The sequence below is a fragment of the Homo sapiens genome, chromosome 6 (assembly GCF_000001405.40).
Source record: "Homo sapiens chromosome 6, GRCh38.p14 Primary Assembly".
In the NCBI taxonomy this organism is placed as follows: Eukaryota; Metazoa; Chordata; class Mammalia; order Primates; family Hominidae; genus Homo; species Homo sapiens.
Genome location: NC_000006.12, coordinates 107631845 through 107656708, shown reverse-complemented (window position 1 = coordinate 107656708; position 24864 = coordinate 107631845). Strand labels below are relative to the sequence as shown.

At 44.3% G+C, this 24864-nt stretch overlaps 1 protein-coding gene across 9 annotated transcripts in view; it reads right to left on the bottom strand.

Moving 5' to 3' along the window:
* Positions 1-24864, bottom strand: part of SOBP (sine oculis binding protein homolog) — a 171190-nt gene that overhangs the window by 4598 nt on the left and 141728 nt on the right. For 8 of the 9 annotated variants that reach the window (XM_011535920.3, XM_047418962.1, XM_047418963.1 and 5 more), the window contains 2 exons: positions 21240-23195; positions 12773-15932 (listed from right to left, as the gene is read on the bottom strand). In XM_011535920.3, the coding sequence (XP_011534222.1) occupies positions 21243-23195 (1953 nt within the window). In that variant the 3' untranslated portion in view covers positions 12773-15932; positions 21240-21242. Of the gene's footprint in view, positions 1-12772; positions 15933-21239; positions 23196-24864 lie in introns of those variants that run through there. The other variant, NM_018013.4, reaches the window with a different exon arrangement.

Genomic DNA, 24864 nt, shown 5'->3' with positions numbered 1-24864 from the left:
AGGTCAAATGCCCATTGGGAGGACTAAGTGGAAGCTTGTGCTTTGAACCCTGCTATCTAAATCCTGGTGTTAATGGCAACAATAATCAGCAGCAGCCAAAAACAAGGTTTGAAAGTTTCACTGTGCACGACAGGAAATGCCTGAGTTCCCCCAATCACATTAAATCACCAGATCTGTGTGTACTTAATATGTATATTAAATAACCAAAGTGAAAATGCAAAACACCACAAATATGTAATGGGGGTGGAATTACAAGGCCATGGAAACCTTTTCATTTGGCATGGTCAGATTTGGAAATGTGGATATTTATTTCTGAATAAAGAGCTCACATTTGACTTACTTTCTTTCTTTCTTTCTTTCTTTCTCTTTCTTTCTTTCTTTCTTTCTTTCTTTCTTTCTTTCTTTCTTTCTTTCTTTCTTTTCTTTCTTTCTCAAGAATAAGTGACAATGGAGAGAGGGGATACAAAAATAAAAGCACCAAGAGCCACTATCAAATGTGAGGCCACAAAAATTGAGGAGCTGCAGAGATGACAAGTGGATCCAAAGACACCGGGGTCACTTCTTCTGGGAACAATTCTTTTGCATTTAGCAAGCACAGCCTGGAAGTTGCTATGGAGGGAGGGAAGCCATCCCCACCTCTGGGCCTGGAACCAAGAGTGACTGAATCTTGTAGTTAGAGGGGGCCTCCTTCTTTCTTTAAAAGGGAGGAGGGAGAATGTTTAACATTTTCCTCCAGTAAACTGGGAAACACCGCCATTTTGAATTGCTTACTTAGGGATGCTGCAACTGCTTTTTTAATAATGTAGCTTTTTTCTTTAATGCAATCACTATTTAAAAAAATGAATGTTTCTCCAGTAAGTTTCTTTATATTCAAATCACCTTTGGACAAAGACCAAACACGGACAGCATCAGCCTACTTAAAGAAAATTTCCAGGCTTTCACAAGAGACTCGGTAAAACGGGATTATAATAAGAGCCATTCTGGAACCTTAACTACAGCATTTGCCATCCCAAACACTATAATAATCATTATTATTCTCTGGTATCTATTATTGTCTGGTAAATAATATGTGTTTTCCCCCAAAGTTCTGAAGGGTGCAGCTGCACCACACTCTATTTTTCGCAGCCCTAGTCCTGCTGCTCTGAAAAGCTTGCTCACACGAAGCTTATTTTAAGAGAATGGTAAAGTAGACAATTTGTGCTGTTTCCTTCCCTCTCACCACATACTTGCTGTGTCTGGGACACCCACAAAGGCCAGATGGTGGCAGTACAAGTCCCTCTCTGCTGATAACATTTGAGGAGGGGGCGGTATTGAAGGCATCCTCATTTGTCCTTCTGGCTCTGGCTGGTTCAGGGCAGCCCCCTTGTTGGTGACACAGGAAAAGACTCTGGAATCGATGAAAATGAAGAACCAAGCTTGGGCTTCACTTTTCTGATATTTATTGGTATGGAAGGTATGAAATCCAACAGAGTGGGGAGGAAATAAGTTTGGATTTTTAGAAAGTGATCATGGCAGGAAGTTCCAGAGTCTGGAGCTGGTTCTGTTTTGTCCTTGCCAAGCAGAAGAATCTTACGAAAAAACTGTCCTCCATGTCTAAATGTCTTCATCTGTGCAAAGGGGAAATTACTACAATAAGCGAAACAGAGACCCGAGTTACAGTACAAATGCCTCTGACTGGCTATGTGACCTTGGACCTGTTTCTCAGCCACCCTCCCCCAGAGCCTCGATTCTTCTACTATGTTCCTCAGTCACCCTCCCTCAGAGCCTTGATTCCTCTTCCATGTTCCTCACCCACCCTCCCTCAGAGCCTCAATTCCTCTTCCATGTTCCTCAGTCACCCTCCCCCAGAGCCTTGATTCTTCTACTGTTCCTCAGCCACCCTCCCCTCAGAGCCCTGATTCCTCCTCCATGTTCCTCAGCCACCCTCCCTCAGAGCCCTGATTCCTCCTCCATGTTCCTCAGCCACCCTCCCCCAGAGCCTCGATTCTTCCACTGTGTTCCTCAGCCACCATCCCTCAGAGCCTCGATTCTTCCTCTGTGCAGTGGGGGCCTGGGTGAGCTTCAGTATTAAGTCTTCCATTTCTCACATGCTCAGATTGTGGAATCTTTCCACAAAATCCAGTATCAAATATGTAGAATTATAAACTTGAACAACTGAATATTAATCTGTTACCAGTATACAAGGAAGCCCATGAACTTCTGGACCCTGAACTCCAAAATTTCAGAAAGTCTCCTTCTCTCAGTACACACAAACATACACACACATCTATGGCAGAGGTTTGTGGAATACCCCTTAAAGCAGGGGATTCTGGGGAAGTGGCCACAATTGTACCTCACACTTGGGTTTTCCTCTGATTTGGGCATTTGTCTGAAGGCAGGATAACCCACCCCTGCTACATGAAGCATCAGACACACACAATTACATACAAATAAAAGCCCATTTCTTATGCTATATATGTATCATACATGTACTATGTATGTACCATACACACACGCTGGCACCACAAGGCATGGTCTCCATCGGGCATGTATGACCAGCTATCTTCAGAATTCCAGGCCTGCCTGCCCCTTTTGGCCAGAGGAATGAAATATTTCTCTTCATGGAATCGTAACTGCACACCAAATGCATTGAGAGACTCTCTGTTCACCTGGTGAGTCACTTTTCTGTTTTATCAGGGAAGCATGGCCAAGAATGTGATCTAGATACTCATCCACCTTTATAACACAAAATTTTCCAGAGAATTATAGATAGCAAAACTGTGTCTAAATACATTCTCTCAATGTTGATACTGTCAAAATATGGCCACTCTCACCTTTACTTCTTTGACCTTTATGGCCTAAGACTTTCACTGTTAGCATTCCATAAAACTTCCAGGCAACCACTCCCAAAAGTAAATGTGTGTTCAGAGAAAAATGTCTGTCTTATTCTACATCCCAACATTTCCAAACTAGCTCTTCTGTGGTGGCAGATTCCACTTCTACCAGGAAGCCTGCCTCTATTAATCTAACCCATTTTCTAAACTTGTATTATTTCCTTCCTCAAATACTTTTGTAATTAGCATAATCAAAATCCAGTAGGTCTGTCCTGTCTTCCTCATTTAGAAGGCAAGCTCCCCATGTCTGTCATATTTATCCCCAGGAGTCTAAAACCCTGTGGCATCAATTCTATGATGTGCAAGAAATGCCTGCTGCCAGCCAGCTTGCCTTTGTCCAATTACCCAGGCCCTACCAGAGATCCACTCACTCGGGCACGTCTGCCCATCACTTATCACAGTTAAATACAGCCATTACGTGCTGGCTGCGGCAACGCTGTTTATCTGGGACAATAACGAGTCCCTGAGGACTGGATTGCTCTCAGGTAGCCGCAGCTATTCTGGGACACTCACAAGGGTAGAGCCCTGCGGTCAATGAACAGAGCCGCCTGCACTAGCTGATAAACTCTGAGTGTGATGCCAGATAGTGGTCCCCACACCAAACCCATCCCAGGAAGGAAGGTTTTTACCAAAACACGATTCCTTCTCTCCTCCATCAACCATTGCTTCATGAAGAGTTTTTAAATGGCTTTTGCAGGATAGAAATTGTTCTCATTTTTGAAGAGGATGACATCTCTTTTCTTATAGCTCATTAACTGATGAAGATACGTGGGAGATACTGGAGGTTTGGTTCTAGACCACTGCAATAAAGTGAGCATTGCAATAAAGCAAGTCACATGCATTTTTTTGGAGGGTTTCCCAGTGCATATAAAAGTTATGTTTATACTATACTGTAGTCTATTAAATGTGCAGTAGCATTATGTCTAAAAAACAATTTACATTTCTTAATTTAAAATACTTTATTTGTAAAAAAAAAAAAATGCTAACAATCATCTGAGCCTTCAGCAAACCATAACCTTTTTGCTGGTGGAGAGTCTTGCCTTGATACTGACGGCTGCTGACTAATCAGGGTGGTGGTTGCCAAAGGCTGGGGTGGCTGTGGCAATTTCTTAAAATAAGACAACAATAAAGTTTGCCACATTGGTTGATTCTTCCTTTCACAAAGGATTTCTCTGTGTCATGCCATGCTATTTGATAACATTTTACCCACAATAGAACACTTTCAAAACTGAGTCAATCCCTGCTGCTGTTTTATCAACTAAGTTTATGGAATAGTCTAAATCCTTTGTTGTAATTTCATCATTGTTCACAGCATCTTTACCAGGAGCAGATTCTATCTCTAGAAACCAATTTCTTTGTTCATTCTTAAGAAGCAACTCCTCATCTGTTCAAGTTTGATCGTGAGATTGCAGCAATTCAGCCACATATTTAGGTTCCCCTTGTAATTCTCTTGCTATTTCTATCATATCTGCAGCTACTTCCTCCACTGAACTCTTGAACCCTTCAAAGTCATCCACGAGTGTTGGAATAAACTCCTTCCAAACTCCTGTTAATGTTGATATTTTGACCTCCTCCTATGAATCACAAATGTTCTTAATGGCATCTAGAATAGTGAATCCTTTCCAGAAGATTTTCAATGTACTTTGCCCAAATCTGTTAGAGGCATCACTATCAATGGCAGCTAGAGCCTTATGAAGTGTATCTCTTAAATGATAAGACTTGGAAGTCAAAATTCCTCCTTGATCCATGGGCTGCAGAATGAATGTTGTGTTAGCAGGCATGAAAACAATTAATTTCTTTGTACCGCTCCATCAGAGCTCTTGGATGACCAAATGCATTGTCAATAAGCAGTAATGTTTTAAAAGAATTATTTTTTCCTGAGCAGTGGGTCTCAACAGTGGGTTTAAAATATTCAGTAAACCATGGTATCAAGAGATGTGCTGTCACCCAAGCTTCGTTGTTCCACTGACAGAGCTCAAGCAGAGTAGATTTAGCATAATTCTTAAAGGCCCTAGGATTTTCAGAACAGTAAGTGAACACTGGCTTCCACTTAAGGTCACCGGCAGCATTAGCCCCTACCAAGAGAGTCAGCCTGTCCTTTGAAGCTTTGAAGTCAGGCATTGACTCCTCTCTATCTATGAAAGTCCTAGTTGGCATCTTCTTTCAATATAAAGCTGTTTTATCTATATTGAAAATCTATTGTCTAGTGTAGTCACCTTCATCAATGATCTTAGCTAGATCTTCTGGGTAGTTTGCTGCAGCTTCTACATCAGCACTTGCTGCTTCACCTTGCACTTTGATGTTATGGAGACAGCTTCTTTCTTTAAAGCTCATGAACCAACCTCTGCTAGCTTCAAAATCTTTTTCTGCAGCTTCCTCCCCTCTCTCAGTCTTCAGTGATGAAGAGAGTTAGGGCCTTGCTCTGGATTAAGTTTTGGATTAAGGAAATATTGTGGTCGGTTTGATCTTCCACCCAGACCACTCAAATTTTCTCTATATCAGCAATAAGGCTGTTTTGCTTTCTTATCATTTGTGTCTTCACTGGAGTAGCATTTTTATTTATTTGTTATTTAGAGACAATATCTCAGTCACTCAGGCTGGAGTGCAGTGGCATGATCACAGCTCACTGCAGCCTCAAATTCCCAGGCTCAGGTGATCCTCCCACCTCAGCCTCCTGAGTAATTGGGACTACAGGTGTGCACCATCACACCCAGCTAATTTTTCATATTTTTTGTAGAGACAGGGTTTTGCCATGTTTCCCAGGCTAATCTTGAACTCCTGGGCTCAAGCGATCCGCCAGCCTCAGCCTCCCAAAGTGCTGGGATTATTACAGGTTTGAGCCATTGTGCCTAGCCATGGAGTAGCAATTTTAGTTTCCTTCAAGGACTTTTTCCTTGCATTCACAACTTGATTGGCACAAGTAGCCTTGCTTTTGGCCTGTCTTGGCTTTCAATATGCCTTCCTCACTAAGTTTAATCACTTCTAGCTTTTGATTCAAAATGAGAGACATGGGTCTCCTCCTTTCACTTAAACATTTAGAGGCCCTCCTTTCACTTAAACATTTAGAGGCCATCATAGAATTATTAACTGGCCTACTTTCAATCTTGTATCTCAGGAAATAGGGAGGCCCAAGGAGAAGGAGAAAGATGGGGGAACAGCCAGTTGGTGGAGCAGTCAGAACATACCCAACGTTTATTGACTAAGTTTACCTCTTACATGGGTGCAGTTCATGGTGTCCCAAAACAATGACAATAGTAACATCCAAGATCACTGATCACAAATCACCATAACAGATATGATAATGAAAATGTTTGAAACATTGTGAGAATTACCAAAATGTGACACAGAGACATAAAGTGAGCACATGCTGTTGGAAAAATGGCATTGATAGACTTGACAGGGTTGCCACAAACCTTCCATTTGTACAAAGGCAATATTCGTGAAGCGTAATAAAGCGAAGCATGATAAAGTGAGATATGCCTGCAACTGAAAAACATTCCTTCTCCTTTCGAGTCTATAGCTCATGGTAAGGAGAGGGTATGGGAGCCAAGGGTGAGTTTCATCTTAGCTCAGTGTTAGGCTCTGGTCTGAATCGCAGCTTCATCACTGTGATGCTACTCACCCTATGGCTCTGAGAAGCTAAGGTTCCTGAGTACTAAAAATAAAATAAAAATAACAATAAAAATTAACCAATTATAAGGCCTTGTTTTCTTTAATTTTTAAATAACTTTTTCTTTTAGCTATATCCCTTATTTTACTTGTTAATCAGTAAAAATTACAACCATGTAAGACTCCCTACTGGGATAACTCTATCTTTAAGTCTTCATTTTACAAATGAAAATGTTGTTTTCCTTTGCTGGTTCTATGGGTTAGGGGAGAGCAGTCTGTTTTTTCTTATAAGTGGTCATTGCTATTTCTTGCTGACCTCTAAAAGTTTCTGAGGGGCGAAGAACCCAGAACTACGGAGCCCCTTCTTGTGCACTCACTTAAGTAAGTCCTTATCTTCACCTTGGACAATGGATCCTCTTTACTAAGTTCTTTCCAGAACCTGGAAGTTTAAGCAAACCAAATGACCAGGTCTCTGGTAGGCCCTCTTCCAAAACCATGGAGGGATTCATGACTAACAGTGTAGTTTTCTTTTTTCTTTCTTCTTCTTTTTTTTTTTTTTAACAAACACACTATAGCAGATGGCTCTGTTCACTCCCAAAAAAGAAAAATAGAATAAAGAAGAATTACATGATAGAGCTGTTCTGCAGGAAATTTTGAACAAGAGCCTAGGTCCTATGCCCTGGCTTTCAGAACTAAGTACTTCCCATTGTGGTTTATGTCTTCAATGAAAGGAGTTTTCTTTTTTTTTTTGAGACAGGGTCTTGCTCTGTCACCCAGGTTGGAGTGCAGTGGCACCATCATGGCTCACTGCAGCCTCAACCTCTTGGGCTCAAGTGATCTCAGCCTCCCAAGTAGCTGGGACCACAGGCATGTACCACCAAGCCTGGCTAATTTTTTTCTGATTTTTTGTAGAAATGGGGTCTCCCTGTGTTGCCCAGACTGGTCTCAAATTCTTGGGCTCAAGTGATCCTCCTGTCTTGGCCTCTAGGCCTTGCAAAGTGCTGGGATTACAGGCATGAGCCATGGCTCCTGATGGTTTTTTTTTTTTTTTTTTTTTTTTTTTGGTAGTGGGGGCGGGGCAAGGTCTTGCTCTGTCACCCAGGCTGGAGGACAGCTGCATGATCATAGCTCACTGCAGCCTCAAACTCCTGGGCCTCAGCCTCCTGAGTAGCTGGGTCTACAGGCATGCCCAGTTAATTTTTAAATTTTTTGTAGAGATGGGGTCTCAAACTCCTGGGCTCATGATCCTCCCACCTCAGCCTTCCAAAGTCCTGAGATTACAGGCATGAGCCGCTGTGCCCAGACTAGGAGTCAAATTTTATTGCACACCTAATTTACATCAAATACAGCACCAGGCATTTTTATATACTTATTTCACTTGGAAGCAAACAGCAATGCTACTGAAATATTTATTACTATCTCCATTTTACAGATGAATAACTTTGCCAGGAAGGGTTGCCAGAAATAGGAAAAGGTGGATGGAAGTCCAGCTTCTAGAACCCCAAAGTCAAGTTTCCCCCTCCCGCTGGGAGAGCTGACCCCTAGCCTATGTTCCATCTCCCCCCTTCTTTGCCCTGACAGTAGGGTGGCAGGGTCACAATGTCAGAGCTGTATAGTGCCTTAGAGACATACATGGCCTAACACCCTGCATTTGCAAACAAGAACTCTGAAAAGTTTTTCATAAGAAAAAAAAAAAACCACACATTTTCATCAAGTCTCATCCAACACACGAACTAGCTGATGTCAGTTCATGGAACTCAGCAGGCCCCTGGCCCACAGCTCTGCTCCCCTCTCCCCACTGTGACTACAGGAGCAGGTGTCACTGTGTCCCTGTTAAAGTGGGAGATGCTAAATCCTAGATGAATTTAGAGACTCATTCAAGGGGTCAGTGGAAAGGACAGGGTCCTTGTCCTTTTCTGATTTCTACCACCCTGACTCTCAAGACTGCGGCCTTCCAAAAATTCTGCCTGTGACAAAAAAGCCAGATGTTTACTGTGTTAAGATTAAGTGTGTTACTTCTCTATGTTATATGAACAGAGGCATTCTAGGTAAAAGAGAAAGAATACAGAGAAAAAAGCAGCTTCATGTGGCAAGTAGCTTTGACCTGTGGGTCAACGGCAGATTTTAGGATTTAGATGAGGTCTGGGAAAGCAGTCTTCTCCACACTTGATTCATTCTTTATGACCAGCCCATTAGCAGAGAGAGGGAGGGAGAAAGCTTCATATTAGTACAAATGCCATTGCAAAATGTAAGAGCTATAATACTGATTTCTCCCCCAACAGCAAAAATGATGGAGAGTGTGGTTACTAACTGCTTTCCTGCAACCCTTTAACCTCTCAACCCTAGATGTTCAGGCACAACCTATTTTCTCTCTGGAATTGGCTTCCTGATGTGAGGAAGCCATGCCGTGGGTGGCAAAAATATGACTCTGGTGCTTGGCACAGGGCATGTAACTGAAGCAGCTGCGGTCAGATCCCATGTTCCACCGAGAGGAAAGGCAGATGAGGACTCAGGTTCTAATCCTGGCTGCGCCACCCTGTGACCTTGGGCACTCGCTCTCTTTGTTGCAGTCTCGACTTGTAAAAGTGGAACCAGAGATTTTATGAGAATTTCTGGAATGGTTTCCCTAACCTCTGAGGTTGACAACGTGGAAGTGTTTCATTATTTTCCATTACACATCCAAGGGAAGAAGTTCTGGGCTGTAGGGGCTATCATGACAATTTTTGTAATAAGCATCTACTACGAGCCAGGTAGCTCCCGGACATTTTAACTTGTTATTTACATTGGAGCTGATAACTGCACAAAGTAGGGGTTATTATCTTCATTTTTTACACATAAGCCATGGACAGTGGTTTTGCATGGAAACTCTGGAGCCAGGCTGCCAGTCGTATCTCAGCACTGCCATTTACTGGCCACATGACTCTGGGTGGCATACTTAACCTCTCCAAGCCTCAGTCTCTTCATCTGCAAAATGGGCTTAATAATGCTAAGTCTCATGCATTGTTGGTATGTAGCATTTAAACACTGCCTACATGTAGAAAGTGTTCAATAAATATTAGCTATTATAATTATTTAATGAGAAAATGCAGGCCCAGAGAGGTTATAAAACTTGTCCAAATCCTCACAGCTGGTAAGTGACCCAGCCAGTTTTCAAACCCAGGCAGGTCTCACTCCAGCCCCAAGCTCTGTCCTTAGGCAATGCATCCTTTCTAACAGGATGGCAACTGCCATTTTAGGGCATCTGTGATGAGCCACACTTTATACATTTCCTTACCTGTCTCTTACAGCAATCTCATTACTCATGACATAGAGACTGAGGCTCAGAGAGCTGAAGTCCCTTTCTCCCTCACCTGGTAAGTGTCTCTGCTGGGATACGAACCCAAGCTGGCCCAACTCCAGAGCAGATATTCTTTTCCACTAAACCACACTGCCACCTTCCTTCACCACCAGGAGCCCACTGGCACCACATGTGGAAGCTTCTGAAGGTTTACAGCCTGGAAAGTCAAAAAAGAGAAGAGGACATATCCAAAAGGTTGCCAAACTTTCTTAAAAGTAGCCGCAGGCCATGGGAGGATCTGATTCTGATGCTGAGAAAATCTCCGGAGATGTCTAAGGAATATAGAGCAAGCCCCCTGAGCCTTTCTGCTGCCCTTCGGTCTAAGGACAGACAGTCTAGGCATCGCTGTGTAACCTCCACATTCCACATTCGTGAAGTCCGCTGCTGCAAGAGCCAGGGCCTGCCTCTGTGCATGCATGAAACAGCAGCCCACATCTGCCCTTCCCTGCTGGCTTAAGGCTCAGAGCTGCTGGTTGGTCAGAAGGGTGGGGCCTCTGTTTCTGTGGCCATCTGGAGCCAAGCCAGCATCTTCCTTCTTTAGATCCTGGAATGGTCTGTTGATTGTGAGATTTCCTTCCACCGTGCATTGTGACATTTCCTTAGGCCCACTTAGCACAAAGAAAGTTCTTCTCACTGTCCAGAGACAATGGCTTTCCATACTTAACCCATAGATCTGGCAGCGCATGTCCCTCGCACTCCAGCGATGACGTTCTGCAATGTTTAGAATCAACTGCTGGCAATTAGCCTGCCATCAGAATGCAACCATCAGCTTTAGCAATGTCAGTCTTTCAGTCTACAAAGAGCTGCTCAAGTAATTTTCCTCAAACACAGATTTCATCTTGTCATTCTTGTGCTTGAGGCCACAGTGACGTTGCCCAATGTATTGAGTACAAATTCCCCAAACTCCTGTTCTACCACCTTCCCACTCTCCTCCAGCCTCATGCTTCTCACCCTCTGTGGTCAAGCCCTTTGTTCCAGCCAAGTGAACCGGAAGGTCATCCCTAATACAGCTTGCTCTTTTCTGTGTCTGTGCCCTTTAACATGCTACTTCACCCCTCATTTCTCCACCCCTGATCGCCAGCCCACATCCCTCCTCAGGTTCAGAATTCAGAATTCATCGACCAGAAGGCACTACATCAAGGCAGCTTCATTAGCTGTTCCTCTATGGAGACGCTTTCATTCATGTGATCACTGAATACTTGTGTGCTCATTCTTCCAGCCCCTGTGCTAGGCACTTGGTTACAACAATGAGTGAACTGGACCCGGTCCCTGCTCTTGCGAAGCCTACTGTCTGCAGTGTCACATCAGTTTGCAGGTTCTGCATGTTGCTTGTAAAAGTGACCTTGGCTTTTTTTTTTGTCTCTCAGTAGGTTATTAGTTCTTCAAATCAAGTCAAGGACTCCTGCCACACACCCTCCCCTACTTTTTTTCTTTTCTCTCTTTCCCTCTCTCTCTCTCATCTTTTAATAACACAGACCTGAGCAAAGTCAGCATTAGATATTGTTAGTGCAAAATGGATATGTTTTACCCTCTAGGGAAATAAATGAAGACTATCTCTGAACTATGAATGAGCAAAAGGGGACTGCTTCCCTCTGTTTGGATATGATGAGGAGTTATTAAGTTTCGCAGATTGTAATATATGAATTAAGTATACATTTAGGATTTATAAAATCCAAAAATAGGATTTTAAAAGTTATTATTGCTATGCATAGGCCACACACACACATGCACACACACACACCCAGAGCTAAGACAAAGGACAAGTTGATCACCTGATCGGACAGTGAGAAGTGCTGTCAAAATCAGGATGAGAACCCTGAACCAGTAGCCCTCATCTTCATTTGCAAGGTTATAATGTTTTTCCACCAAAAATTTTTCATAGTCTTTCAATCAATATTTAAGGTCCATGTTGCCTAAACCTTGGGGATTATGAAAATAGCCACTAAGTCCCATGTTTATGATGCCATCTTATTTAATGGGAGGATTGAAGAGATCTGCATGTATTTTTGGTTTGGCAAATCTTAGAATTATTTTTTCAACATTTGGGTTTGGATAAAACCAAAACTTATTTTGCCAAGCACTTTGGCCTTAATTTTCAAACCCATGTGTATTTTAAAAGAAATTTGATCTATGTGTTTCTGACTCATTTACACTTAACTCATGAGAATGCTGTTTGGTAAGAGCTATTAGATGTCCAAGCAAGTTTATGAGCCTTTTAAAGCCTTCTTTTCCCCATTCTTACCAGAAAGTTGTATTTTGCCAGCCATAAAAGAGTGTGAGCCCCAGGGGCCTGTGATCACTTTGAAATTTATAACCTCCAAAGCTTAAATGGATTCTGCGTTTGGAAAAAGGGTTTCCCCCTCCTCTTTTTCATATTAAGTGCACAAACAGGCTACCTATGATAAAGACAGGATCCTATGTCTTAGCTTCCAAGATGGCTGAAGGCAAATAGTAAAGAATTCAATCCAACCACCAATAAATTGTCCCTAAGACATTTCAGAGGAACAATATGACACTTTAAGTTCATGTGGACACAGACTGAGATCCAACACTCTAATGGGAAGTTTTTTGTTTGTTTTTTGTTTTGAGATGGAGTCTCACTGTGTCGCCCAGGCTGGAGTGCAGTGGCACGAATTCGGCTCACTGCAACCTCTGTCTCTCAGGTTCAAGCTGTTCTCATGCCTCAGCCTCCCAAGTAGCTGGGACTACAGCCATGCGCCATCATGTCCAGCTAATTTTTTATATTTTTAGTAGAGACAGGGTTTCCCCATGTTGGCCAGGCTGGTCTTGAACTCCTGACCTAAGTCTGATCCACCCGCCTTGGCCTCCCAATGTGCTGGGATTACAGGAGTGAGCCACCACGCTCACGTGTGGGACTCAATACGGTTCAGGTTAGAACACTTTAGCTTTTGAGTGCTGGGGAATTTCTTTGTTTTAAATCACAGACAACCAATCTTGTTTATGATTTTTTAATACATTTAAAAAATAATAAAATAAGCTGATTCTACTAAAAATGACATTTGAATTAAAACCAGAAAAGCAAGAAGAATGTGAATGCATGCTGCAGCAACTTCATCTTGTATCTTCTATAATGATGCTCAGATACTACTCAATTATAGTATTCTAGTGGGAGAAAGCTTTTGGGTAAATTACTTAAAAATGGCTTATAAAGGCTGGGCATGGTGGCTCATACCTGTAATCCCAGCACTTTGGGAGGCCTAGACAGGTGGATGATGAGGTCAAGAGATGGAGACCATCCTAGCCAACAGGGTGAAACCCCATCTCTACTAAAAATACAAAAAAAAATTAGCTGGACATGGTGGTGCGCGCCTGTAATCCCAGCTACTTGGGAGGCTGAGGCAGGAGAATTGCTTGAACCCAGAAGGCAGAGGTTATAGTGGGCCGAGATCGCGTCACTGCACTCCAGCCGGGCAACAGAGTGAAACTCCATCTCAGAAAAAAATAAAAATAAATAAATAAATAAAAGCTTATAAATATTTAAAGTATGAGCATCTAACACATTATAAGGACAAAGTTTTACATGTAACCACATGTGCTCCAAATATCTTGAAATTACTCTAAATACGGGTTTAAAATATCAAAAGAGCTTGTTGATGGGATGCAGAGCTTTGCAGAGAAACTTAAACCTGATCATTCTTGCTCCCACAACACCCAAGCTGCACAGTTTTTAAAGTGTGTGTGTGTAGATTTCTTTAGAAAAAGATCACGTTACAGTCTGAATTTCTAAAACAAGAGTTGAAGGATGAAATATAGGGTTTCCCCTTCTCTCTCCAAATGCCGTTTAGCCACTTTGCTTCTAGATAATTTGTTATTGTAGGTTGGTTCAAATTTAAGACAGTAACATTTTAGAAACACTTGCAGAACTAAGCCAGCTGCAAGGAGGATATCATTACAAATTGAGACACATGTTGTATGGGAATACCATTCATTTTCAATACCAAAAACATATCTGGGGAAATAAGCCATGCAAATGAGGGAAAGATCTACTTTTTAGTTGTATTTTTTTGGATGTTAGGTCAATGTTCCATATCAAATGAATTCATGAAGCGTTTCTCCCTTTTGTTCTTTAAATACTATCAGTCACATTCTTACTTCCCTTTTTACCCAAAACAAAACACAGCTTACTATATCAAAGACAGACAACAAACCAGAGGTTCAGAGGGGAAAATGATGAGACAACTAGTGCTGGTGCAGCCAAATATCTGGATGGGAATGAGGCTGGGAGCACTGGAAGCTTTGATTTGCCCCAGCCCTGACCCCTTGGCTACCTGGAAAGCCAGGTCTGCTCTGCCCCCATCTCTCTACTCAGGGCTGTACATCTGGACCACACAGTACAATTGCACAAGCATTTTTTGCTTATGATCATTAATTCAGTCCAAGGAGTGGCAGAGTTAGGTAACTTGACTGATTTCCAATTTTAAACTATGTAGTACACTTGGGACTATTTTAAAGCATTAGAGAATAATTCCAAGTTTTTGTTATTGTCATTTTCTTTTGCTCCAGTCATTTTTCACTAGAATCTTTTCGATGACCCTTGAAATAAGTTTTGTGCATGTGTGTGTACTTCCCCTCCCTGTTGATGGTCTCATGTTCCCAATCCTGACCCCACCCTATTTTTTTTTTCTGTGCTGTGGAAATCCACAAATCTGGAGAAGAACTCTCTGCAGTTAGTATTCAGAGCTGGTGTCTGAAATGGCATTTACCCCATTTCCTTGAGAATGGGACCCTGTTAAACGATGCCAGTGCTAAATTGTTTATTTTCTAAAGCTAATTTCTTTCTTTCTCTGAATGAATTTCGTTTATGCCCTTTGAGGCCCTAAGAAAAAGTTTACACATGCAGAATGCATTGCCTTAACATCCATCCACATAGAAAGTGCTATGCACTTAAAACGGCAACGGAAGGATACAAAATAAGTTGTGCAGGACACGGTAAGAGAAAACAGCATGGCCACCCCCGTCCCTTTGGCACGATCTCTTAGACAGGAAAGTCTGGAAAAGGCGGGGCGTTCGGGTGAGGGTAAGTGTTCCACAACATGAGGTAAGTGTTCCACGGTGCAGCGTATTTTGGTCCTCAGACATCTCTGCCCCTCTGCAGCACTTGTCTGCATGAAGGTAGGTGTAAATGATTGAACATGGTGCACAGGCAGCAGCTTAGGCTGGCAAGGGAGTGACTCATTGGAAACCAGTCAGGGAACTGATTTCCAGTGCCCTCCTGGGCAACGGCTGGTTAATAGCTGGCCGAACGCGTCTCTTTCCAAGTGCAGTCTCTCCAAGTAAAGAGGCATACTGGGGAGCTAGGGAGCATTGGCAGCGCTCCCAGACACTGCCACATCAATGCCCTGGTGTTCACCGACCTGTCCACCTCTCTGACTCTGGCCATTCTGCTTTCTTGGCCTCAGTGGCAGAGTAGAAGATCTTTCCACAGAAGAACAGTGTCTCCCTGTATCGTACAAATTTTGAAGGTCCAAGTGCTGGGGAAGTATCTAGCTTATTTCTTTTCTTGCTTCTCTTTTCTTCTTTCATCACAGGCCCTTGTGGGAAATGGTAACTTGAAGAAAAGTCTGTAACCTTTTGCATTGTGTCACTAAGGCAATCTTATTGAGGCAAGTGCTACATGATGTAGCTCCAACTTTGATTCTGCAATATTAGGCCCACAGCAGAAATTGCCAAACAATATATTCTAAGTTTTAAGAGAAACTTTCCATTAATTCAGCTTCCTCAGAGAAACAAGAAAAATTTCAACTCAGATATTGCTCCATAATAAGGTAAGATAATCCTTCAGAGATATAGAGCATACTTTTTCTGGAGCCAAAATCTATGGACGTCTTCTCCCATGAAAATGCCTCTGTGCATAGGCACATAAAACTTTCCATGAAATTTCAGGGGGAGTTGCTGAAGGCCATCCAGGGACGAGTCCAGGGGGCCAGGAGACCAGCTTTAGGGAGCTGCCATATGGATCTGGAGACAGAGCCAGGACCAGTGCTGCACTAGCATGACCCTGAGTGGGTGCCTCCTCAAAGTCTCTGCCCTAAGCCCTTCCTTTGCTTCACTCTAGTCCCAGTCCTGCTGAAGATGGAAGGTTATGGGTACATCTGAAAGTAATAAATATCCAGTCACAGATGTCATTTCATATTCCATCATAACCTGATTGACATCATATATAAAAGTTGGATGCTTGTACATTAAAACCTTCCCTCCAAGTCCCTGGTCATAAGGGTTAACATGGTCCCAGCAGCATTGAATTGGGACATATCTCAGGCCAATCTTGACACCATTCATTCCAGAAAACTTTCCTCTACAAGTCTGAAATGATCACAGGAAGCACACTCCCAGGTCCTCCCACTCACATGTGTCCATGACACAGACCTGGTGTCTTCTTTCTGGCTCTCTGAAGTACCTCTACCTAGAACTATATGTGCCAACTGCATCCCAACAGACAAGCTAACCCTTAACTTAGGGACTGTCACCAATTAATATTCCCAATAGTCAAGTACTGGACCATTAGATAGCACAAGTCTGACACAGGATCCGAGCACATCCCATTCATACTGATTTCCTTTTGTCACTCTCAGTTTTCCTTCTTTTCCTTGTTTTAAAAGTAGGCACCTATAGTATTGTTTCGAATGTATGGACTGACTTCCCAACCTCCTCCCAGACAGCCTCCTCTCTTGAACTTCTCAGTTTGAGAAACTAAATTGGCAAAAAACTTTTTGGGACCTCCACCCTTTTGGCTTCCCCAATGAAGTGAACTCCTTGCCTTGGAACAGTTGTTTCTAGGACTGTGGCTCCATGACCAGACTAATAATTAAACTCCAAAAAGCCAAACTACAGGTGCCTCCTCCAGCTTTCCCTGAGAAAATAAGATGTCAAGTCCCCCCTGCTGAGCCTGGAGTAGTATCATGGAATTGGGACCAGGAAAAAGGGTCTTATATTTTCTTTCTGGTTTTTGAAACTTAGAAATTTGGGAGCCACAAAGGTGGAAAAGTGAGATGAAAGGGTTACTCCTTGTACACATTTTTTCCATTGATTATTTTACTTAAAGAGTCTATGTCATTTCCCTGGAAAACTGAGGAGGGGGAATATTTTCTTTTGAATATCTTCAAACATTTGCAAATGGTTACTCTGAACTCCCCAATGTACCATAAACAAGTGTAAACTGTAGAAATTCAGAAAATGTACAAATACAAACAGCTATCCCTCAAGCTCCTAGGCAAAGACAAAGAAGGGAGTATTCCATTTATAAATGGAATTCTTTGTGGATAGAATAGTTCGGAAAATGTTTATACATTGTTTTCCTTATTATTCGGGGGGATATTTTTTCCAGCTTACAGAAGCTGCAGAACTGGCATTTGGAGTCTTAAAAGTTGAAGATCAAAGGAAGTTTACAACCTTTTAAAATCTTCAACTAAACTTAATTAGTTCTGCATCTGGGGAAAATAGTTGTCCACTGAAATCATTTGTAATCATATCAACACACAAGAATGCATAAAGGCAGGTAACCAGGAACAGAATAATTTCCAAATGGGGAAAAAAAAACCCTATAATTTACAAAGAACTAGCAAATAAGACTTCCTTGAAGACAACTGTAGCTGCCTCGGTTGCTAATTTCTAGATACTTTGGTCTGCTTTTGATCTATTTTAAATGATTTTTTTAAACAGTACTACAGACTGGGAGCGGCGGCTCACACCTGTAATCCCAACACTTTGGGAGACCAAGGTGGGCAGATCACTTGAGGTCAGGAGTTTGAGACCAGCCTAGCTAACATGGTGAAACCCCATCTCTACCAAAAATATAAAAAATAGCTGGGCATGGTGGCATGTGCCTGTAATCCCAGCTGCTCAGGAGGCTGAGGCAGGAGAATTGCTTCAACCCCGGAGGCAGAGGTTGCAGTGAGCCCAGATTGTGCCACTGCACTCCAGCCTGGGCAACAGACCAAGACTGTCTCAAAAAAATAATAAATAAAATAAAATAAAAATAATAAAATAGTACTACAGTATGAAAAAGGCAGACATAGTGAGAAGAATGAAGAGCTGACTGAAGTTATTGACAGATTATCCTATATAATATATAATGAATATATATGAGAAATAATATATAATGAATCACCAACAAGCACACGGAGAAATCATTCACCTGCACCTCACCCACCACATCTCAGCCTGAGTTTTGCTTTTGGTTTGTAACACTTTCCACTTTGGCTTTTAACTTGTCACCAGTGTTCAGCATCAGGGCACAAAAGCCATACGGTCCTTTATTTAGTGGATACACTTCCAATTTCCCCAACCATATGAACGGTCTGGGTTTCTGAAGGCATAGAAGAAAAACAGCACCACATGTGCACAAAAAAACAGGAAGGGGCCTGGGCACGTTGGCTCACACCTGTAATCCCAGCACTTTGGGAGGCCGAGGTGGGTGGATCACCTGAGGTCAGGAGTTCGAGACCAGCCTGGCCAACATGGCAAAACCCTGTCTCTACTAAAAATACAAAGATTAGCTGGGCATCGTGGCGCGTGGCTATAACCCCAGCTACTCAGGAGGCTGAGGCAGGAGAATCACTTGAACCCAGGCAGCCGAGGTTGCAGTGAGCCAAGGTCGCGCCACTGCGCTCCAGCCTGGGTGACAGATTGAGACTCTGTCTCAAAAAATAATAAATAACTAAATAAATAAATAAAACAAACCAGGAAGGGCCAGAGAATGTGAGTAAATTGTGGCAGGTTGAGACTGTGCTGTGAGGTGACACGGAACTTCTGAGGGCAAGAGGAAATGTGATTTAGTGGAGGAGAGGTGGTTTTTCCCCCATCTTAAATCACTTGCCTTGTCACCCTTTCGTAGCTGACAAAGCCTGAGTATTTCTGTATTTCTGATTTTAAAGAAAAGCTGTAATTTCTTGGGGGACCCATCATTGAAAGAACTCTTCAATCTCAAGAGGTAGTGGGCAATTTCATCACCACATCTTCTGAAATTGGCTGGAGCCAGGTTGATATTTTTAATGATTCTGGTCCACATACAAGACTGATTCTTTATTCAGAAACATATATCATCCAAATAGCCATCGTGTATTTTATGTTTTTATGTTATTTTGGTCCCAAGCTACTCATATGTTAGTGTCACTATTCTTGACCTGGTCACTTCTCACTCCAATGATGGTATAATAGTAAAATCTCTCACCCTCCCATTCTTCTTCTTTTCAGCCTCACCTGAATGAGTGATATTAGAATGTGTTTAAAGTGACAATTCCCAATGCTTTCTGACTTTCTGAAGGCCGTCACTTTTTTTGTCACACATCTTCCCATTACTCACAGCTTTGTCAACCAGATTAAATTACTCTCGTGAAGAAATCAGGGGCATTTTCAATTGAGGTGACTGTGAGAAGGCTGAGGCCATCTGTCTTCAGGCAGCAGAACTTGTAGATGTAAAATCAAGAAGGAATGGTGAACTCATTTTTAGTATTCTTCCTCTACTGGCAAAGCCATCAGAGGAAAAGGAAACCTCGAACGATGGTGGCTGAGAAACCTTTCTTCCTCAACTGACAAGTCTCCTTGCTCTGGTCTGTGCTTCCCAAGCAATCTCCTGGCTATGCTAGGGGCCCAACTTAGAGACCAGGGACTGGACACACCACAGCAAGTGCTGTGCTCCACGTTTGTATTTCCCACTGTGGAGTAATGGGTTGGTAATTTAGGCTTGTTGGTGCTGCAGAAACAAGAATTCAACTGTCTGAACACTTAGAGAAGTTAGGAGGTAGACTCAGTTTTTGTTTGTTTTTTAAGAAACTTTCCCCTATGACAACTGAGGGTTGTTTTACCCACTGAGGTGGGTAAAACAATTTTAGTATGTAGGGTAATAAAGAAACTAATTAGCCTATTCTCCTACAGTGGTTTTTTAAAAAATGCAGCTCTGGAGTCAGACAGCCTGGATTTGCATCTCAACTCTGCTAATTTGGTAAAATCTTGGGCAAGTTACTTTAATGTCTCTGTCTTGGTTTCCTCATCAATAAAATGAAGACGATAATTGTCCTATGGACCCAGATCCAAATAAATACTACCGAAAAACACTTAGAAGACAGCCTGCATACAAATGTGAGCAATTATTCATCTTACGAGATCCACTCTCCTGGCCCCCGCTTCCTTCCTCCTGGAGTTTGCACTCCCACCAGATGGGGGCACGCCATCATTTACCTTTGTATCTCCCTAGTCCCTGGAAGGAGCAGTGTACAAGTTAGGTGCTCAATAAATGCTCATCTCTCCTCTTCCTCTCCATAAGAAGTTGATAAACTCAACTGAATTTTGGCCTGTTTGATGCCCGCTTGGATAGACGGGAGAGCTTGGGCTGTGTCCAACAGGCCTGAGTTGAATACGGCTTCCCCACGTACCAGCTCTGCTTCGGGCACAGTATCTAAGCTTCATCTGCCTCCTTGGTGAGATACAGATGATGCCTATTCCACCAGAATTGGCAGGAGGAGCAAATGAGGCCACCTCTGCCTATGACAGGCACACATGTTAGTTCCCCTTCCCAATATTGAAAAATTTAACTCACTCTTGGCGGCTCACTTGGCATTAGGCAGGAGTCTGTCTATGAGGTCAGAGATGTGCAGTGTCACTCACTTTAGCAATGCCACCCTCTTCCCTATCGAAGCCTCCCATTACCTGCAAAGGTGAGCAACTCATCAGCTAAGCCGCTGGGCCCCAAAAGGGGGAGAGAGCAAAGCTGGTCAGTGACGCTTGAGGCCTACCCTGGGGGATGCTGCTTGGTGCCAAACTGCAGGAAGGAGACCCCATGAACAGGAAAGACACCCTGCCAGGCAAATAGGACTCAGTGGCCTGGGTTCAGTTGACATATGCATGTAAGAGTTAGGTTTCATTCTCACTTTACAAATGGAATCCCGTCCTTATCAAGAAAATTTGGTGACATTCTGCCAATGAGGCAACCAGCTCTATTTAGTAGGTGGCCCAGCTCATGGGTTCACTGGACATTTCACCACTGCCCTGCAACCTCATGATCACACATTTAGGTGTCCCAAGTTAATCTCTTCTCCCTCCCCCCATCCTCCTCTTCTCCAATAGGGTGATTTACGGAGATGAGCATGATAATAAAGTGTAATTGGAGAGACAATATTTCATGACAGGTTGGAGACTGAGCTCTCCCCTCAAGTAAGTGACCCGGGGCTTGGCACTCACATGCTGTGGCTCAGTTTCCTCGGCTGTAAAATGGGAATGATGCTACTGAACAACTCAGCATCAGAGCTGCTGGCTCAGAATGTTGATAGCGTGACCACACCGTGTGCAATATAAAACACACACGGTAAAATCATGACTATAATTACAACTCTCCCCTCTGCCTTGTCAGAAGTAAGGAGAGGTGCACTGGCTGGTGTGGAGGAGCGCCCGGCGGACATACAAACCTTTTACTTATTCTGATTTCTAATTCGGAGGCACCTCCTTTTGAGCGGCGGCTCCAGGTCCTCAGGCCCGGCGCTGAGCATGGGCGAGGAGATGATGCACGGTGCCATGGCAGCCTTCTCCGCGGGTTTTGGCACAGGCTGGATCACGCAGCCGGTCTTGGGCAGCATCCGCAGAGCATAGGCATGGTCCTCGTCCGCGGGGTTATTAAGGTTCGGGTCTGACTTGTCGCCCCCCGCCAGGGCCTCCTCGCCCATCAGCTTTTTGGCCGCCTCCCCGTCCAGGTGGCAGTTGGAAGCACAGTTATTCTCCTTGACCGACTCTAGCTCGCTCACCGCCGGTTCCTCAGGCGACAGCAGCTTCTTGGGGGGCGCGGGCGGCGGCGGCGGCGGCGGCTGCTCGGGAGGCGGCTCCGCGCTCTTAGCGCCCTCGGCGGCGGCGCCGCGCGTGCCGTTCACGATGACGTTGCAGGCCGCGGCCGCCTCGGGGCCCGCCGGGGCGCCCGGGCCTGGGTCGCCGGCGGCGGGCGGGCTGCAGTGGCCGTCCCTGCAGCCGCCGCAGGTCCTGCGCTCCGCGGCGCTCGGCTCGCGCTCCGCCTTGACGTGCGCGTGCAGCGCGCGGTGGATCACGTTGTGCAGCCGGGCTCGGTGGCCCACGGTCAGGTCGATGACGCCGTCCTGCGGGCCCTGCAGCACGCCTGGGAAGCCGAGCTGGCCGCCCGCGCCCGGGGGGCCCGGGGGGCTGCCGGCGCGCCGCGTCAGGTCCACCACCTCGCTCCGGCCATGCTCGGCGGGCGTGGGCGCCAGGCTCAGGGCCTGGCCCGAGCAGCCGGGGGGCGAGTCCGCGGACTTGGACGAGCCCTGCTTGGAGTCCCGGGGGGACAGGGAGTGTCCGCTTGGCTTGCCGCCCGCCGCCGCGGAGTCGCCAGGGGCGTTCGGAATGAAGTTCTCCCCGTTGCTGGAGAACCCGTTGGGGGGCTTGGAGTCGCTGACGTGAGGGATAGGGATGGGGATGGGGATGGGCACCGGTAGGGGCACGATCACGGGGTACGGCACGAGCAGGGTCGGGGGCGGCACCAGCGGGGCAAGCGACGGCAGCCCGAAATTCATCATCTGGGGCACCGGCATCGGGCCATTTGGCATCATGCTCACTGGCGGGAAGGGAAGACTCGGCAGCGGGGCGCCCGGAGGCGGCGGGGGCAGCAGGCCTGGGGGGTTCCCGGGCATGGTGGGGGTGCTCGGGGGGTGGATGTGGGGCGATAGCATGGGCCGGTGCATGGGGCTGGAAGTGGGGCCCAGGTTTCTGGGGCCACCGGGCGGGGGCCCGATGCCGGGAAGCATGGGGTTGGACAGGGGGCTGTTGGGGTTGGAGGCATGGTGCGGAGGCCCGCGGATGAAGGGCGGGCGGATCTGCTGCATGATCTGCTGCTCCATGAAGATGGGCAGCGGCACCGGGCCGCGGTTGGTCATCACCATGGGAGGGCTCCGAGGCGGGACGCCAAGGGGAGGCCCGATGCTAGCAGGTGGCTGGACGGAGACAGGAGGGATATTTGGAGTCTCGCTGATGGGGATGGACTTGGGCACTGGCGTGGGGATTTTAGTGACAGAGCAGTTGGCAGTGTCAGATGGAGAGACGGTGGTGGACGCCGACGGGCCAGGGCCCTGGCTTTGGCCAGCTGTAGCCACCGGGGAGGGGGCCTTCCTCCGAGCATCTGTTAGCGGGATATTCCAAGAGTCTGGAGTGAGCAGCTGCACCCCGGTGCCTTCTGCTTTATTTTCCATGGGAGGGTGTAATGTGCTGCACAGCCCAGCTGGAAGATTGGCCTGGGTCTCTTTGTAGAAAATGTCCATTTTGTATTGATTGAGACATTTTGCACTGCAGAACTGAAGCCTTCTTTCCCCGTCCCCAAAATCCAGGTATTCTTTTGTGTGTCTTATGTGCTTACACCAGTCACATACCTACAACACAGTAATAAAAAACCACAACAGGTAAGACAAGCAATTTACCTGGGTAGATGACGTTTCGTGTTTCACATAAAGGTTCTTTTAAACTTTACCAGCACTTCTCAAACAGGCAGAACTGTTTCCTTCTAAAAGGTAAAATTCTGAAATGTTTGTAAAATGATGGGTTGGCTTTATAAATATGAGCTCTTCAGAATACCAATTATCACAACCTCCTATTCTTTTTTCTTAAATTGTGTTGTCCCCTTTAAGCATGACTTAAAGATGGTTCTGAGAAAAGGGAATATATATACCTGTCCAATGTACCTGCCCACACATTTTCACTTGTCAGAGAGGCTCATTGTAAATGCAAACCTAAAGAGTTTTGGAGGGAAAGGTTCTCCAGAAAGTTCAATGGGCTTGAAATATTACCCCTTACAATTCTCCTCATGCGAAGTCACTTTACACTGTTGACTATGTTTGATAATGCAGTTGGAAAGAGTGTACTGTGTTAACCAATAACACAAAGCGCTGAACATCATTATGTCTGGCTTCCAAGGAGAAACTTGGAATTAATCATGAAGTCTGTGTGAGGTTTAGCTATTCCCAACCTGTGATGTTGCAGCAAGCTAGAATTATTTTTTGAGCTGTTTGCCCACTCTCTCTCAGTAGTCAGAATTTTTGGTGACATTTCTTGGCAGGCAGTCTTATTTAACAACTTTTCAAACACCAGAGAACATTTTCCAAAAGTTGTTATGGCTTTTTCCCCCCTTCAAATCTACTCTTGGCAAAAGAAAGACATCACCAAATTTATTTTAAAGTTGGGCTGCAGAACTAATTAAAGGCTGAGAGCTTTTCCCAATTGGAAATCACTAGACATCAAAGTTCAAAAAATACTCATTCTCAGCTTCAGAACCCATTACTTTGGAGAAATTATTGTGATTTCATTAACACATTAATTTTGCAACACCATCAGCTCTCACAGATGGTGAAGACATGATCTACAATTCAAATATGACTCTTGTTTGCACAAATGTCTTTCCTTCATATGGCATTTTAAACAAGAATTAATATGAGTGATCTTGCCATAGCTATAAACAGATAAACAGATGTCAAAATTTTCAATAGTTCTTTCAGTGCCTTACTTTTTTTTGACAGAGTTTTACACACACAATCTTTTTTCTTTTTTTCCTTTTTTTTGGGGGGGGGCCATTTTCTCAGCACTCAAGCCATATATAGCAGCAAAGAAAGAATTGTGAAACAGTGCAATGGTGAGTCTATTGAATTTGAGTCTCTCCCCCAATAAAGCACTGGTTCCAATATTGTTCTAAATGAGAGCCTGTTTTTGTTGAAGAGGCTGTCTGTTGTTCTGTTGTTGGTGCGTGTTGGTTTTTTAAAAAAACTATCATAAACTGATATAATTAAAAGATGATAAATTTTAATAATGATTGGTCACATAAACAATGCAAAAACAACATATGCTGGGCATTTGATTACTCATCTCATTTAACTCTCAGCTTTCCTTGATTGTAAACAGTGGTGGCATGCTGGTATGTGATCATGGGCGAACACGCACTTGGCAGATGTGGGTCTGTATGTGTAAATCCACTCTTTTCCTTCTCGCTTTTTTTCCACTGATATTTGCAGGTAATAAACTTGATAGTGTGAGACTGAACAACATGTTGGC